We start from the raw sequence: 17,660 nt of genomic DNA, 5'->3' as shown, positions 1-17,660 counted from the left end.
ATCAAGCTGTATTACTTGAAGGGCCAGTGCTGCGACTGTGCACTTGTGCAACTCTTAACCCAGCCACATTTCTTCCAGACAATGAAGAAAAGATAGAACATAACTGTCAACAAGTAATTGCTCAAACCAGTGCCGCTAGAGGGGACCTTTTAGAGGTTCCCGTGACTGATCCCGACCTCAACTTGTATACTGATGGAAGTTCCTTTGTAGAAAAAGGGCTTTGAAAAGCAGGGTATGCAGTGGTTAGTGATAATGGAATACTTGAAAGTAATCCCCTCACTCCAGGAACTAGTGCTCAGCTGGCAGAACTAATAGCCCTCACTCGGGAACTAGAATTAGGAGAAGGGAAAAGGGTAAATATATATACAGACTCTAAGTATGCTCACCTAGTCCTCCATGCCCATGCAGCAGTATGGAGAGAAAGGGAATTCCTAACTTCCAAGGAAACACCTATCAAACATCTGGAAGCCATTAGGAGATTACTATTGGCTGTACAGAAACCTAAAGAGGTGACAGTCTTACACTGCCGGGGTCACCACAAAGGAAAGGAAAGGGAAATAGAAGGGAACCGCCAAGCAGATATTGAAGCCAAAAGAGCCACAAGGCAGGACCCTCCATTAGAAATGCTTATAGAAGGACCCCTAGTATGAGGTAATCCCCTCCAGGAAACCAAGCCCCAGTACTCAGAAGAAGAAATAGAATGAGGAACCTCAAGAAGACATAGTTTCCTCTCCTCAAGATGGCTAGCCACCGAAGAAGGAAAAATACTTATGCCTGCAGCTAACCAATGGAAATTACTTTAAACCCTTCACCAAATCTTTCACTTAGGCATTGATAGCACCCATCAGATGGCCAAATTATTATTTACTGGACCAGGTCTTTCAAAACTATCAAGCAGATAGTCAGGGCCTGTAAAGTGTGCCAAAGAAGTAATTCCCTGCACTGCAGGCCATACATTTCAATCCCTGTATCTTTAACCTCCTTGTTAAGTTTGTCTCTTCCAGAATTGAAACTGTAAAACTACAAATGGTTCTTCAAATGGAGCCCCAGATGCAGTCCATGACTAAGATCCACCACAGACCCCTGGACCAGCCTGCTAGCCCATGCTCCGATGTTAATGACATCGAAGGCACCCCCCCCGAGGAAATCTCAACTGTGCAACCCCTACTATGCCCCAATTCAGCAGGAAGCAGTTACAGCGGTCATCAGCCAACCTCCCCAACAGCACTTGGGTTTTCCTGTTGAGAGGGGGCACTGAGAGACAAGACTAGCTGGATTTCCTAGGCCGACTAAGAATCCCTAAGCGTAGCTGGGAAGGTGACTGCATCCACCTTTAAACATGGGGCTTGCCACTTAGCTCACACCCAACCAATCAGAGAGCTCACTAAAATGCTAATTAGGCAAAAACAGGAGGTAAAGAAATAGCCAATCACCTTTTGCCTGAGAGCACAGCAGGAGGGACAAGGATCGGGATATAAACCCGGGCATTCAAGCCGGCAATGGCAACCCCCTTTGGGTCCCCTCCCTTTGTATGGGAGCTCTGTTTTCACTCTATTAAATCTTGCAACTGCACTCTTCTGGTCCATGTTTGTTACGGCTCGAGCTGAGCTTTCGCTCCCCGTCCACCACTGCTGTTTGCCACTGTCGCAGACCTGCCGCTGACTCCCATCCTGCTGCTGACTCCCATCCCTCCAGATCCGGCAGGGTGTCTGCTGTGCTCCTGACCCAGTGAGACTCCCATTGCCACTCCCGATCGTGCTAAAGGCTTCCCATTGTTCTTGCACGGCTAAGTGCCTGGGTTCGTCCTAATCGAGCTGAACACTAGTCACTGGGTTCCACAGTTCTCTTCCGTGACCCACGGCTTCTAATAGAGCTATAACACTCATCGCATGGCCCAAGATTCCATTCCTTGGAATCCGTGAGGCCAAGAACCCCAAGTCAGAGAACACAAGGCTTGCCACCATCTTGGAAGCGGCTCACCACCATCTTGGGAGCTCTGTGAGCAAAGACCCACGGTAACACTAACAGGGTCATGGGAATCACCAAATTTATAGCTAGTTGTTCAGAAGTGTGGGTGACCTGGGGACCCCCAAAGTACAGCTGGAATCTGAAGAGAAGATTTGTGAAGGATTAAGCCCTTAACTTATGGAGTCTGCACTAACTGTAGATGGTCAGTGCCAGAAATGGCTTTTAGTACACCAATTTTGGTTGAAACAGAAAAATGTCACAGAATGAAAACCATTTTAGTAAATAGCAATAATTCAGTCATTTTTGGTGGAAATTCTTTGATGTGATCTAAACCAAAATGAGATCAGCTTTGCTTCAAAAAGATTTTGCCAAATAAGAGAAACTGCTGAATATTTAACGTTTAAAATATCAATTTCTATGTATTTTTTCCTTTTTCATGGTGTTCAGGAATTAATTTTGTTAGCAGTCAAGATTGCTTAATCCTCAGAGTTACATTTCCATTTTGCAAAGTAACAACTGGTTGGTTTTTACTCTTAGTTTCCCTTTCCCCAGCCAGCATGTAAACAACCTGCCATATTGTTGCAAAAAGGCAAATAGGGTTAAAATTGGAGACAAGACTTCCATCATTTTTGCCAAGCAGAGAGGGAAGAACTCAGTAATCACATAATTCTGCTCAAACTAAGTGTATCTGAGAACTATTCAAATGTTCACAGGAGGACAGATGACCTCTTTTTTCTCCATTTCTCTTTGGATGTTACACTTTGTCATTTGTCATCAAAATTGGCCTTTTCCTTTATCTCTTTGTGGTAAAGCTTGATGGCATCTGAATTTACACTGTCTCCTTGACAGTTGTGCTGCTTCTGCTTCTTTCTGGCAGTTTCTACTTTTCCTTTCATTTTATTATCCTGCTTTTTATTTCAATTTTGTTTTTATAGTCTCTGTGTACTGTCTTGACCTTTAGATGGTCTTACCTTCAACATGGCAAGGATGTCACACTACCACGTACAAATAACAATGTGCTTTCTTAGCTCATTTCCCTAGCATGACTTTTTTTGAGATGTCAAAAGCAAGTTTTTGAGAAACCAATTGCATTTTTATTTTGCCCTAAGGGTGCTTAACCCAATGTCTCTTCTTTTATTATTATTTTATTACCCAAGGGAAAAAAAATTTACTTAGTTTATTTTTTTAAAGCCAGTACTTTGCTCATCAATTAATGTTTGTTGAATTTATTCCTACTGGATGAGTAGTTGTATTCTTTTGAAATAATGTGTCAAATCTTTGTGCCCAAAGATTAAAAAAATAAAAGTAAAATACATCTAAAAAAAAAAAAAAAGAATAAGGCGGCCTTCCGGCCCCTCTGGGTCTAGGGCGGTAAAGCGTCTAAGGGTTGCTGCCAAGCGGGCCAGGAACTGGGCTGGGTTTTCGCCTTTACCTTGGGTAGTTTCCTTTAGCTTGTCAGAATTAACAGCTTTGTGTGCTGCCTTTTTAAGCCCTTCAACTAGGCAGGAAATCATGTAATCTCGCCTAGCTATACCTGGGGAATCTGCCTGATAGTTCCTTTGGGGGTCCTCTCGGGGAACTGCTCTGATGCCTTCCTGGAGGCCTGGCTCATGAAGCCAGCGGTTGTCAGCGTGAGACTGGGCTAGAGAAAAAACTCTTTCCTGTTCATCTGGGGAGAGGGTGGAAGTCAGGATGACATTTAAGTCACTGCAGGTTAACTTGCAGGACAGAGTTAGATATCGGAATTCCTGTATATATTTAGCGGGGTCTGATGAGAAAGAGCCCAAACACTGGCTGATTTGGGAAAAGTCTGATACAGAAAAAGGCGCATGTACCCAGACTATGCCTTCAGCTCCAGCCACTTCTCTAAGAGGAAATTGTTGGGCAGGTGGGGGAGAGCTAGTCGCAGAACAAAACTGTAAGCCAGACTGGGTGTGAGGAGGGGAGGTGATAGAAGGGTTATAGGGTGGGGGAGCGGAGGCTGAAGAGGAGCTGGAGCCTGATTCAGCCTGGTGGGGAGCGACCTGAGGAGGAGCAGTCTGGGGAGGAGGGGAGAGGTCAGATGGGTCGGTAGAAAAGGAAGATTCAAAAGACCCAGCAACACTTGGGGTTGGGACTGAAGGGACAGGTGGGAGGGAAAGAAGGAGGATTTGGGACAAGTCGCATTGGGAACAGAGACTAGGGAGAGAATGAAGTGTGAAAGACGCCCGGATGTACGGCACCTCCGACCATTTGCCCATTTTTCGACAAAAATTATCTAGGTCTTGTAGGATAGACAAATTGACAGTGCCGTTCTCTGGCCACTTGGAACTATTTTCGAGTTTGTATTGGGGCCAAGTGGTATTGCAGAAGAAAATAAGGCATTTAGGTTTTAGGTCAGGTGTGAGTTGAAGGGGTTTTCAAGAACACAGGCTAAGGGAAAAGATGGGGGAATCGAGGGTGGAAGGTTGCCCATAGTGAAGGAGGTAAGTTTAAAGAGAAAGGTAGAGACACGGAGCAGGGGGTGATGAGCAGCCCTGGGCTGCAATGTGGGTGAGCAGCCAAAGCAGGCGTCCCCACAATTGACTTGCCACCAAGGGAATGTGGGTGAATGACCAAGGCAGGCATCCCCGTGGTGATCAGACACCAATGAAATGTGGGTGAATAATCAGGCAGGCATCCCCGCAGTGATTAGACACCAAGGGAAGGCTGTCTTCCTGAGTCCATGACCAGCGCCGGAGTTTTGGGTCCACAGATAAAATGTGTCTCCTTTGTCTCTACTAGAGAGGAAAAAGAACTGGAATTGGAAGGACAGGGAGATTGAAGGGTAGCAAGAGAGGGAGATTGAAGGGTAGCAAGAGAGGCTGGAGAAGAGAGTGAAAAGACCGCTTACCCAATTTGAAATTGGTGAGATGTTCCTTGGGCTGGTTGGTCTGAGGACCCGAGGTTGTAGGTGGATCTCCTCACAGAGTTAGGGCGAGGACAGGGGACCCGCCTCCCGAAGGAGTCCTCCTGTCCCGGGTCTTCAGCACCAAATGCCATGCACGTCTGTGTGAAGAGACCACCAAACAGGCTTTGTGTGAGCAATAAGGCTGTTTATTTCACCTGGGTGCAGGCGGGCTGAGTCCGAATAGAGAGTCAGCAAAGGGTGATGGGATTATCATTAGTTTTTATAGTTTTGGGATAGGCGATAGAGTTAGGAGCAATTTTTTGCGGGCAGGGGGTAGATCTTCTTACAAAGTACGTTCTCAAGCGTGGGGAGAATATTACAAAGTACCTTCTTAAGGGTGGGGAGGGTGTATCGTACAAAGTACATTCACAAGGGTGGGGGAATATCACAAAGTACTTATCGCAAGGGTGGGGAGGGTGTATTGTCACAAAGTCAATTGATCAGTTAGGGTGGGGCAGAAACAAATCACAATGGTGGAATGTTATCAGTTAAGGCAGGAACTGGCTATTTTAACTTCTTTTGTGGATCTTCAGTTGCTTCAGGCCATCTGGATGTATCCGTGCAGGTCACAGGGGATATAATGGCTTTTCTTGGGCTCAGAGGCCTGACAGGGACCTCAGTGACAGGACTATGTGGGACTTCAGGATCCTGCTCCTCTAGTTCCAAGACTCAGATACTCTCTTCATTTCTGACCTCGTGATCCACCCGCCTAGGCCTCCCAAAGTACTGGGATTACAGGCGTGAGGCACTGCGCCCGGCCAGAAAGTTCTTAAGAAATTACTTATAGGTGAAGAGGGTCTTTGGAAGCGATGTGGCCAGGGTCTCTCCATCTTTGGCCCTGCTCTGCAGTCTCTCAAAGATGGGTTTAAACTTCCAGCTTGGTTTTGTTACAAGGAGGGAACAGATTTAAGTGATTCTCATTTCTTCATTTCTACTTCTTTTATTTATATTCCATTTCTTCCCACTTTGCTAACTTGCTTCCCTATCCTTTACTGTATATTCTCTACTTAGTTGTTCTGGTTCCTTATAACAGCTTCATATTTCCTCTTCGGTCTTGTGACCTCAGTTAAATGTTTAATTATAGAAATAATGTGCACGTGGTTAAAAAAAAAGTCAAATAGAACCAAAGGCTACACAACAGTGGTTCTCAACCAGGGGTGACTTTGCCCCCACCCCCTGCAGGAAACATTTAGGGCATGTCTGGAAACATTTTTGGTTTTCACAACTGGGGAGGGGGTGGTAGTGGAAAGAGGTCAAGGATGCTGTTAAACAACCTACAAAACTCAGGTCAGCTACTCACAATAAGGAATTTCTCACCCAAAATTTATAGTGCTGAGGGTGAGAAATCCTAGCATAGGGGAAAAAATAAAAGTAAAAACCTCTCTCCCCCAATTCCAATTCCTACTCCCAGTCATAGTTCCCAGAGGTAACTACTTTCAACACTTCCTGGCTTTAAGTGTTTTGGTGACTTTTTATTTGTTAATAGTGATACTTAGACCTCTTAGAGCAAGAGAATTCTAGGAAACTCTAGTGAGGTTCTCCATTCCACACCCCCTCTGACAACTCCAGCTATAGGTGACAAACTTTAAGTGGGCTCCTCTGGGCTCCAAGCAGAGAGAATTCCTTATAGACAAGTTCTGGAAAACAGCCTCAGAGCCAAAAGCAAGGACTTTCAGGAAGAAAGCAAGTCTCAGAGACAGCCTGCTTCCCAAGGACAATCATGACTCTTCTGGGTCTTAACTACCAGCAAAACTAATGGTGGATTTAATTTCTCAGCCCTTGAGGCTGGGAGAATGCAGAAAAACCAGAGGGCAGAGGAACCTGCTGGCAGAGACAGCTGAATCCCTGACAGAAAAAATGAGAGCCTGGAAGAGATATGTGTGAAGCTCAAACACAAAAGATTTCCTTGAACTAGAAAATGTGATCTCAGAACTAAAAATTTCCATTGATAAATCAAAGGAGAGGACAGTCATTGCTGAAACCCCAAAATAGGTCTAGAAAATTAAATAGAAAAAAAGTCTCAAAATCTAGCACAAAAATATAGAATTGCAAATATGTGGTAGAAGGTAGAAGCCTGGAACAGATAGAGTAGACTTAACCTGCAAATGCTGTGGGTTCCAGGAGAAAAAGGAACAAGAGAGGAGAGATCATAATTAAATAATAGATGAAATTTCTCTAAGCTGAAGAAAGAATGATTCCAGCTCCAATTGAAACGAAAAGACACACACTCAGCTACATATAGGCAAAAATTCCAAAACTCTAAGAATATAGGAAATCTTACATACTTTAAGGCAGAAAGCAAGTTATTTTTTCTCATCTGCAACCCTGAAAGTTAAAAGACCCCCAGATGGAATGTGGGCTAATGAAAGAAAAGGCCTGCAACCTATACCCAGCCAAGGAAGAAAAAAAGATTTGCAAAAATCACTGAGTACCTCATCTGAGAAATACTTTTGAGAAGAGACTCTAATAAACAACAAATGAATCCTAACACAGACTTCAAGACAGGGGAAGAGAAGAAGCAAGAAACCAGTGGGGAGCAACGAACCATGTCTGTTTATGAGGTGTAACATATATGCTAAATAAGGACTCTTGAAACAGATGGAACACACTATAAGGGAAATTCTAATAAGGACTAAATTATCTCATTAAAACTGTGGAGTCAGGCGGTGGGGATAAGGGGAAGGTAAAAGTGTTCCAGAAGTCTAAGGCAGGGAGAGGTGGGGAGGAAAAATGGGAGAAAGGAAGGGAAGTGAAAGTAATCTAAAGGTCACATTTTGGCCAGCCGCGGTGGCTCACGCCTGTAATCCCAGCACTTTCGGAGGCCGAGGTGGGCGGATCACCTGAGGTCAGGAGTTCAAAACCAGCCTGGCCAACATGGCGAAACCCTGTCTCTACTAAAAATACAAAAATTAGCTGGGCCTGGTGGCGGGCTCCTGTAATCCCAGCTACTTGGGAGGCTGAGGCAGGAGAATCGCTTGAACCCAGGAGGTGGAAGTTGCAGTGAGCCAAGATCGTGCCACTGTACTCCAGCCTGGGGAACAAGAGTGAGACTCTGTCTCAAAAATAAAAAAGATTACATTTTATTGGGATGGGGAGGAAATAGAAGGTAATTAAAGTATTCTGGAAATAGTAGCTGTTGTTTTCATACACTAGAAAAGTCATGTGTATCTATCTGAGAGCAGGGACAGGGATGGTAACTATTAATAGAATGACAAACTCCAAATTAATGAGGAGAAAAATTGAATGAGTAGTAATTTATTTAATCTAGCAAAGATTAAAAAAAAGAAGAGTTAACAACAATATAAAAAAACTTTAAAACAAGTAAGATGGAAATAAGAAAATCAAATACATCACTCATTACAGTAAATAAAAGCGGACTGAAATCTACCATTAAAAGACTGTCAGATTTTGTTATAAATCAAATTTAGGCACACATTACTTAAGAGAAACACACTTAAAGTGATAAAGTTTTAAAATAAAGACATGGAAAGAGATACCAGGCAAATATTAAATATTATTTTAAAAACCAGAGGCTATATACAGACAATCCCCGACTTAACAATGGTTTAACTTAGGATTCTTTGACTTTACGATGGGTTTATCAGGGTATTAAATGCATTTTCGACTAACATTACTTTCTACTTATGATGGGTTTTTCGGAACGTAGTCCCATCCTAAGTCAAGGAACATCTGTACTGATATCAAACAAGAGAAATTTAAGTTACGGGCTGGGGGAGGTGGGAGAAGACTTCCTGCAAAGGGATAGGAGGATTTTGGGAGAGATAGGAAGGTTTTGTATCTTAATTGTGGTGGTAATTACACAACTGAATACACTTGTCAAAACTCATAGGATTGTACACTTAAAATGGATCAATTTGTTGTATATAAATTACAATGCAATAAAACTGGTTTTTAAAAAAAGAATGAAAATACTATGTTCACAAAATAAAAATGTGAAATGAGAAAACAGCGTAACATGAGAAACTCTCTCAATTACCCTGTATCATATATTATACTGTCAAAAAGATAGCAAGCTTTAAACAACACACGCACAGGAAAAATAAAGGGAGCACTTATTTCAAGAAATTATGAAAAGAATAAGAAAAGAAATCAAATCAGAAAATAATAACTAAAGCTAACACTAATGAAATGAAAAAAAAAAAACAAAAAACAAAAATACTAAGAAGGCCCAGGCACAGTGGCTCATGCCTGTAATCCCAGCGCTTTGGGAAGCCAAGGCGGGAGAATCACTTGAGCTTAGGAGTTCGAAACCAGCCTGGGCAACATGGTGAAACCCCATCTCTGAAGAAAAAAAAAAAAAAGTACAAAAATTAGCCAGGCATGGTGGTGTACGCCTGTAGTCCCAGCTACTTGGGAGGCTGAGATGGGAGGTTAGATTGAGCCCAGGAGGTGGAGGTTGCAGTGAGCTGAGATTGCACCACTGCACTCCAGCCAGGGCAACAGAGCCACACCCTGTCTCAAAAAGAAAAAAAAAAAAAAACTAAAAAGGATAAATAAATCCAAAAAATTGTCTTTTAAAAGAGCTAATAAGGCTGGGCACAGTGGCTCGTGCCTGAAATCCCAGCACTTTGGTAGGCTGAGGCAGGCAGATCACCTGAGGTCAGGAGTTTGAGACCAGCCTGGCCAACACGGTGAAAACCTGTCTCTCCTAAAAAATACAAAAATTAGCAGGGTGCAGTGGCAGACACCTGTAACCCCAGCTACTTGGGAGGCTGAGGAAGGAGAATCGTTTGAACCCAGGAGGTAGAGGTTGCAGTGAGCCGAGATGGTGCCACTGCACTCCAGCCTGGGCGACAGAGTAAGGCTCCCTCTCGAAAAAAAAAAAAAAGCTAATAAAATAAACCTCTTGCAAGCCAAATTAAAGGGGGAAAAAGAGAGAAAGATTAAATAGACAAGATTAGTTATGAGAAAGAAAACATTCTTACAAATAGAGGAGAAGGCCGGGCACAGTGGCTCAAGCCTGTAATCCCAGCACTTTGGGAGGCCGAGGCGGGCGCATCACGAGGTCAGGAGGTCAAGACCATCCTGGCTAACACGGTGAAACCCCGTCTCTACTAAAAATACAAAAAATTAGGCGTGGTGGTGGGCACCTGTAATCCCAGCTACTCGGGAGGCTGAGGCAGAATGGCGTGAACCCGGAAGACGGAGCTTGCAGTGAGCCGAGATCGCGCCACTGCACTCCAGCCTGGGTGACAGAGCGATACTCCGTCTCAAAAAAAAAAAAAGAGGAGAAAATTGAAGAATTATAAAACAGTACAACTGAAAATCAACCAATTTGAAAATTTAGAGGAAATGGATATCTTTCAAGAAATATATAAATTACCAAAATTGACCCAGGAGAAAGAGGAAAGCTTGAAGAGCCCAACTTATTTTAGAAAAGACTGCAATAGGAAGGTGATGAGAGACTCCTTTTGGGAAATACTGCATTCACATGGCACCAGATATGAGTTTTTTCTAACCTTAAATAATAATTTCTATGCCATTTATTTATTTTTATTTATTTATTTATTTATTTTGAGTGGAGTCTGGCTCTGTAGCCCAAGCTGGAGTGCAGTGGCTCGGCGATCTCGGCTCACTGCAAGCTCCGTCTCCCGGGTTCACGCCATTCTCCTGCCTCAGCCTCCCGAGTAGCTGGGATTACAGGTGCCCACCACCACGCCTAATTTTTTGTATTTTTAGTAGAGACGGGGTTTCACCGTGTTAGCCAGGATGGATCTCGATCTGCTGACGTCGTGATCCGCCCGCCTCGGCCTCCCAAAGTGTTGGGATTACAGGCGTGAGCCACCGCGCCCAGCCGTTCTATGCCGTTTAAACTGGTCAAGAGTATAGAAAACGAAGAAAGGCTCCAAGATTTAATTGTAAAGCTAGTACATCTTGATACTATTCCCAAAAAAACTCTAAGTAAAAAAGAAAAAGAGGAAAACTGCTTAAATATAATAAAGACTAGTTACTAAAACCTAAAAGCAAATATGGTTCTCAATGGTGAAACACTGAAACCACTTCAATTAAAATAAAAATTTAGACAGAAATGCCTGCTATTATCCTTATTATTTGACATATCTTGGAAGTTTTACCAAATTCAGTAAAACAAGACAATGAATTGTTACGCTCATCTGAAAAGAAATTATAATATTATCTTTTTTGCTGCTGACATGATTGTACCAGAAAAACCAAAAGACTAGTAAAAATAAAAAGCCATAGTAAAAAGCAATATAATTTGGAGGGCTGACTGGATACAAGATAAATATAATGAAAATAAATTGTTTTTACTCTAGCAATAAGCATATTGAATTGAAAATGGAAGCAGTTTCAATTTAGAGTTACAAAGTTATAAAATTCTTAGGATAATATATAGATAATGAAGCTACTCAGAAAAAAAAATTCTTAGGATAATAATGATAGCCACCATAATGCCATGAACTATTCTTAGCACTTTGTATCAACTCAATCAAGCCTCACAACATCCTCTTGAAACAGATTACTATTATTATTATTTTGTATTTTTTGTAGAGACGGGCGTTTTGCCATGTTGCGCAGGTTTATCTCGAACTCCTGGGCTTAAGCGATCCACCTGCCTCAGCTTCTCAAAGTGCTGGGATTACAGGTGTGAGCCACTGCGTCCAGCCACTATTATTGTTCTTATTTTACAGAAGAGAACACTGAGGAACACACAGATTAAGTGATTTAGCCCCAGATTACTATTAATAGCTGGTAAAATCTCAGAGCTGGGATTTGAACCCTGGCAGTTTGGCAGATACTTCCCTTGTAACCACTATGATATGGTACATACATTTACTCATATTTAATCAAGAAACACATAAGTATTCATATGAATAAAGTTATACAGTAAAATATTATTAAACACTATAAAACAAGATGGGAATAAACAGAAAATTAACCATATCCTTTTGGGAAGAGAAAATATCATAAAAAGTGTCAGTTCTCCAAAAATTAAAGTGTATAATTCCAATTAGTAAAACAAAGAACAAGCAAAGAAAAAACTATTTTTTAAAAATACAAAGATTTTGATAGGGAAAATAGTGAGAAAAAATAGAGAAATTCACTTTAGCAGCCGGGTGCGGTGGCTCATGCCTGTAATCCCAGCACTTTGGGAGGCTGAGGCGGGGGGATCACCTGAGGTCAGGAGTTCAAAACCAGGCTGGCCAACATGGCGAAACCCCTTCTCTACAAAAATACAAAAATTAGCCGGGCGTGATGGCACATGCCTGTAATTCCAGCTACTCGGGAGGCTGAGGCAGGAGAATAGCTTGAACCCGGGAGGTGGAGGTTGCAGTGAGCTGAGACGCGCGGCTGCACTCCAGCCTGGGCGGCGACAGGGCAAGACTCCCATCTCCAAAAAAAAAAAAAAAAGAAAAGAAATTCACTTTACCAAATATGATAACATAAGGCCACTTAATCAAATGAATAAAGCAAAGGGGAAAAATTAGTCAGTGGAATAAAACAGAGAATCCCAAACAAGGTGATTGTATATACAAAAACATGACAATTCAAGTCATTGGAGAAAGTGGGCTGACATAATCAGTGGAACTGAACATCTAGCTCTCCTTACTGAGTGCTACCATGTGCTGGGACTGTGCACTAGCAGGGCTTGCATACCCATGTAGCAGCAGAGCATGGTGGGTAAAAGCACACCTTCTGTGGCAGGACATTCGCGTCATCAAAGGTGGAGGCGGGCAGAGACTGACTTGGGTTCCAGTCTATGTTCACGGGTTCTGGCTTATCCTTGCTCTGTCCCACTTTTGCCCATCTTCCCTTCCTGGCTGCCTGGCCTGCAGAATCCGAGCTCCAGCAGCAGAAGCAAAGACAACACCTTTCAGAGACTGTTGAGCTTGCTCCCACAAATGCATAATTGAGCAATTCTCTGTACCAAATAAGAGCAATTCTGTGTACTAAATCTCTTAATTGAAAAAATATGTATGTGTGTGTATGTATATATAAACATACATACATATGCTTATGCTAGTGGTTTTACTTCTCTGATGGGCCTTGACTGACATACTAAATGAAGGATATACAAGTGTTCATGATATTCTTTCAACTTTCCTTTAAGCTTAAAATGTTTCAAAATAAAATTCTGGGGGGATAGAAAAATATACACAAAGGATTCTAACCTCAGTTGAAGAGCTAATCCAAATGGTTAAGAAACATGAAAATACGCTCAAATTCACTACAAATCAGGGACATGCAGCTTAAAGTAAAAATGAGATGCCTGCCGGGCGCAGTGGCTCATGTCTGTAATTCCAGTACTTTGGGAGGCCCAGGCAGGAAGATTGCTTGAGCCCAGGAGTTTGAGACCAACCTGGGCAACTAGAGAGACCCCCATCTCTTAAAAAAAAAAAATTTAATTAGCCAGGCATTGTGGTGCATGCCTTTAGTCCCAGCTACTTGGGAGGCTGAACTGGGAGGATCACTTGAGCCCAGCAGGTTGAGGCTGCAGCGAGCAGTGATCATGCCACTGCACTCCAGCCTGGGCAACAGAGCAAGATCCTGTCTCAAAAAAACAAAAAACAAAAAAAGATACCACTTACATGCATGGCGAAAAACTGGAGCTTAAAACCAGTGGGGAACTCTGAGAGCCAGTGTAGAACATGCGCCCACACAGTTACTCTCCCACTCCCAGGGTGAGGTGGCTGGTGTATTCATATACCAGTTCCCACCAGTCTTTGTTTGAGAGCTGCTTTACAGGGGGAGGCATGGATTCTCCAGCACTCCTGGCCCTCTGCTCTGCTCACCTACCAGAGAAAAGCTTCAGGCAAGGAGCTGCAGGCCTGCCCTTAGCCTCTGGGCTTATGTGCAGCCAGCGGTGAGGCCTGAGGAGAAATGGCTGAGGCACTGACAGTATCTGCCGAGCAGCGAGCATCACTCAGATCCACTTATGTCTTGTGTTAAATTCATGCTGTCACTGTTTCTTACTACAGGTGCCTGCCACCATGCCCAGCTAAATTTTTTTGTATTTTTAGTAGAGATGGGGTTTCACCATGTTAGCCAGGATGGTCTCGAGCTCCTGACCTTGTAATCCACCGGCCTCAGCCTCTCAAAGTACTGGGATTACAGGCGTGAGCCACCACGCCCCGCCCAGGTCATAGTTTATTTAAAAAGGAGGAGGAAGAAGAGGAATAAGCTGGCCCTGGTAACACGTGCCTGTAGTCCCAGATACTTCGGAGGCCAAGGCAGGAGGATTGCTGGAGCCCAGGAGTTCAAGTCCAGCCTGGGCAACATAACAAGACCCCTGTCTCTTTTTTAAAAAGAAGAAGCCAGGCAGAGTGAGTCATGCCTGTAATTTCAGTACTTTGGGAGGCTGAGGCAGGAGGATTGCTTAAGGCCAGGTGTTCAAGGCCAGCCTGGTCGACATAGCGAAACCTTGTCTCTACAACAACAACAAAATTAGTCTGGTGTGATGGTGAGTGCCTGTAGTCCTAGTTACTTGGGAGGCTAAGGTGGGAGGGTCACTTGAACCCAGGAGTTTGAGGCTACAGTGATCTATGGTCGAACCACTGTACTCCAGCCTGGGTGACAGAGTGAGACGCTGACTCTGATTAAAAAAGAAAAAAAAAAGAGGTACAAAAACTTATCATAGGAGCATCAGTGGGACAAGCTAAAATCCCCAGTGCTGTGGTTGGTTCTGAGACTGCAACTGACATTCTTCATTTTCCTCCCCTTCTGTCCACACTAGACTCCCCTCACTCTCAAGCAGTACTTCTTGCTGGACTGAATTACTTGCCCAGTGGGTGAGCCAGACCTTCATTTCTGAGCCTTCTGATAACTGGGTTCTTTCCAGGCTGTGGTGGTTAAAGTTGCCCAATATATCACTGAGCATGGAACACCAAGGGGCACCCATGAATCCCCTAACATGCAGATACAGGCATACTTCAGAGATATTGTGGGTTCAGGTTTGAGATCACTGCAACGATCACAGGATTTTTTTTTTGTTTCCCAATGCATATAAAAGTTATGTTTAGCCGGGCGCAGTGGCTCTCGCCTGTAATCCTAGCACTTTGGGAGGCCGAGGTGGGTGAATTGCTTGAGCTCAGGAGTTTGAGACCAGCCTGGGGAACACGGTGAAACCCTGTCTCTACTAAAAATACAAAAAAAAATTTAGCCTGTCCTGGTGGTGCATGCCTGTAATCCCAGCTACTTGGAAGGGTGAGACAGGAGAATCGCTTGAACCCGGGAGGTGGAGGTTGCAGTGAGCTGAGATTGCACTCCAGCCTGGGCAACAGAGTGAGACTCCATCTCAAAAAAAAAAAAAGGCCGGGCGTGGTGGCTCACGCCTGTAATCCGATCACTTTGGGAGGCCGAGGTGGGCAGATCACGAAGTCAGGAGATTGAGACCATCCTGGCTAACACAGTGAAATCCCCTCTCTACTAAAAATACAAAAAGATTAGCCAGGCATGGTGGCGGGCACCTGTAGTCCCAGCTACTCGGGAGTAGCTGAACTCCCAGGAGGCGGAGCTTGCAGTGAGCTGACATTGTGCCACTGCACTCCAGCCTGGGAGACAGTGCGAGACTCCATCTCAAAAAAAAAAAAGTAATGTTTATACTATACTGTAGTCTATTAAGTGTGCAGTAGCATTATACCTTAAAAAACAATGTAATACCTTAATTAAAAAATACCTTATTGTTAAAAAATGTTAATGATCATCTGAGCCTTCAGTGAATCATAATCTTTTTGCCAGTGGAGGGTCTTGCCTTGATGTTGGTAGCTGCTGACTGATCAGGATGGTAGTTGCTGAAGGCTGGAGTGGCTCTGGCAATTTCCTAAAATAAGACAACATAAAGTTTGCCACATTGATTCTTTTCACGAAAGATTTCTCTGTAGCATGCAATGTTTGGTAGCATTTTATGCACAGCAGAACTTTCAAAATTGGAGTCAATCCTCGCAAACCCTGACACTGCTCTATCAACTAAGTTTATAGAATATTCTAAATCCTTTGTTGTCATTTCAACATAATCTTCACCAGTAGATTCCATCTTAAGAAACCACTTTCTTTGCTCATTCATAATAATCAATTCCTCATCTGTTCAAGTTTGATCATGAGATTGCACCAATTCAGTCACATCTTCAGACTCCATTTCTAACTGTAGTTCTCTTGCAGTTTCCATCAGAGCTGCAGTTACTTCCTCCATTGAAGTCTTGAACTCCTCCAAGTCATCCATGAGGGTTGAAATCAAGTTCTTCCAAACTCCTGTTAATGTTGATATTTTGACCCCCTCCCATGAGTCGTGAATGTTTTTAATTGTATCTAGAATGGCGAATCCTCTTCAGAAGGTTCTCAGTTTACTTTGCCCAGATCCATGAGAGGAATCCCTATGGCAGCTGTAGCCTTACAAAATGTGTTTCTTAAATAAGGTCAAAATTACTTCTTGACCCACGGGCTACAGAATGGAAGTTAGGCGTGAAAACAACGTTAATCTCCATCAGAGATCTTGGGTGACTAGGCACATTGCCAATGAGCAGTAATATCTTGAAAGGAATTTTCTTTCTGAGAAGTAGTAGGTGTCAATGGTGGGCTTAAAATATTCACTAAACTGTGCTGTGGACAAATGTGCTGTCATCCAGGCTTTGTTCTTCCATGTATAGAGCACGGGAAGGATAGATTTACCATAATTCTTAAGGGCCCTAGGATTCTGAGAATGGTAAATGAGCACTGGCTTCACCTTAAAGCCACGAGCTGCATTAGCCTCTAACAAGAGAGTCAACCTGTCCTTTGAAGATTTGAAGCCAGGCACTGACTTTTCTTCTCCAGCTATGAAAGTCCTAGATGGCCTCTTCTCCAATAAAAGGCTGTTTAGTTTGCATTGAAAATCTGTTGTTTAGTGTAGCCACCTTCATCAATGATCTTAGTTAGATCTTCTGGATAACTTGCTGCAGCTTCTACATCAGCACTTGCTGCTTCACCTTGCACTTTTATGTTATAGAGCTGGCTTCTTTCCTTAAACCTCAGGAACCAACCTCTGCTGGCTTCAGATTTTTCTTCTGCAGCCTCCTCAATTCTCTCAGCCTCCAGAGAATTGAAGAGAGTTAGGGTCTTGCTCTGGATTAGGCTTTGGCTTAAGAGAATGTTGTAGCTGGTTTGATCTTCTATCCAGACCACTCAAACGCTCTCCATATCAGCAATAAGACTGTTTTGCTTTCTTATCATTTCTGTGTTCACTGGAGTAGCTCTTTTAATTTCCTTCAAGAACTTTTCCTTTGCATTTGCAACTTGGCTAACTGGCATAAGAGGCCTAGCTTTTGGCCTATCTTGGCTTTGGACATGCCTTCCTCACTAACCTTAATCCTTTCTGGCTTTTGATGTAAAGTGAGAGATGTGCAACTCTTCCTTTCACTTGTACACTTAGAGACCATTGTAGGGTTATTAACTGTCCTAATTTTAAGATTGTTGTGTCTCAGGGAATAGAGAGACCCAAGGAGAGGGAGCAAGACAGGGAATAGCCAGTCAGTGGAGCAGTCAGAACACACACAACTTTTATTAAGTTCAATGTCTTATAGGTATGGTTCATGGTGCTCCAAAACAATGACAATATTAACATCAAAAATCACTGATCACAGATCTCCATAACAGATACAATAATAATGAAAAAAGTTTGAAATATTTTAAGAATTACCAAAATGTGATGACACAGAGACACGAAGTGAGCACGTGCTGTTGGAAAATGGCACCAGTAGACTTGCTTGCCACAGGGTTGCCATAAACCTTCAACCTGTAAAAAACTCAG

General features: G+C 43.1%; 1 protein-coding gene across 2 annotated transcripts in view, besides 1 other annotated feature; it reads left to right on the top strand.

Annotated features, from left to right (window-relative positions):
• CD72 (CD72 molecule) overlaps positions 1-17,660 on the top strand; it is a 36,876-nt gene that overhangs the window by 4,532 nt on the left and 14,684 nt on the right. The gene's annotated exons all lie outside the window — the stretch shown is intronic.
• Positions 14,309-14,358: an enhancer, noted in NCBI's record as "active region_28328". NCBI's record gives its function as "activates an Ori minimal core promoter by ATAC-STARR-seq in GM12878 lymphoblastoid cells {active_cell/tissue: GM12878}" and the evidence as "EXISTENCE:reporter gene assay evidence [ECO:0000049][PMID:35858748]".

This window comes from Homo sapiens, chromosome 9 (assembly GCF_000001405.40).
Source record: "Homo sapiens chromosome 9, GRCh38.p14 Primary Assembly".
NCBI classification, from domain to species: Eukaryota; Metazoa; Chordata; class Mammalia; order Primates; family Hominidae; genus Homo; species Homo sapiens.
Note: the sequence above shows the minus strand (reverse complement) of the source record. Positions and strands in the feature narration are given on the sequence as shown.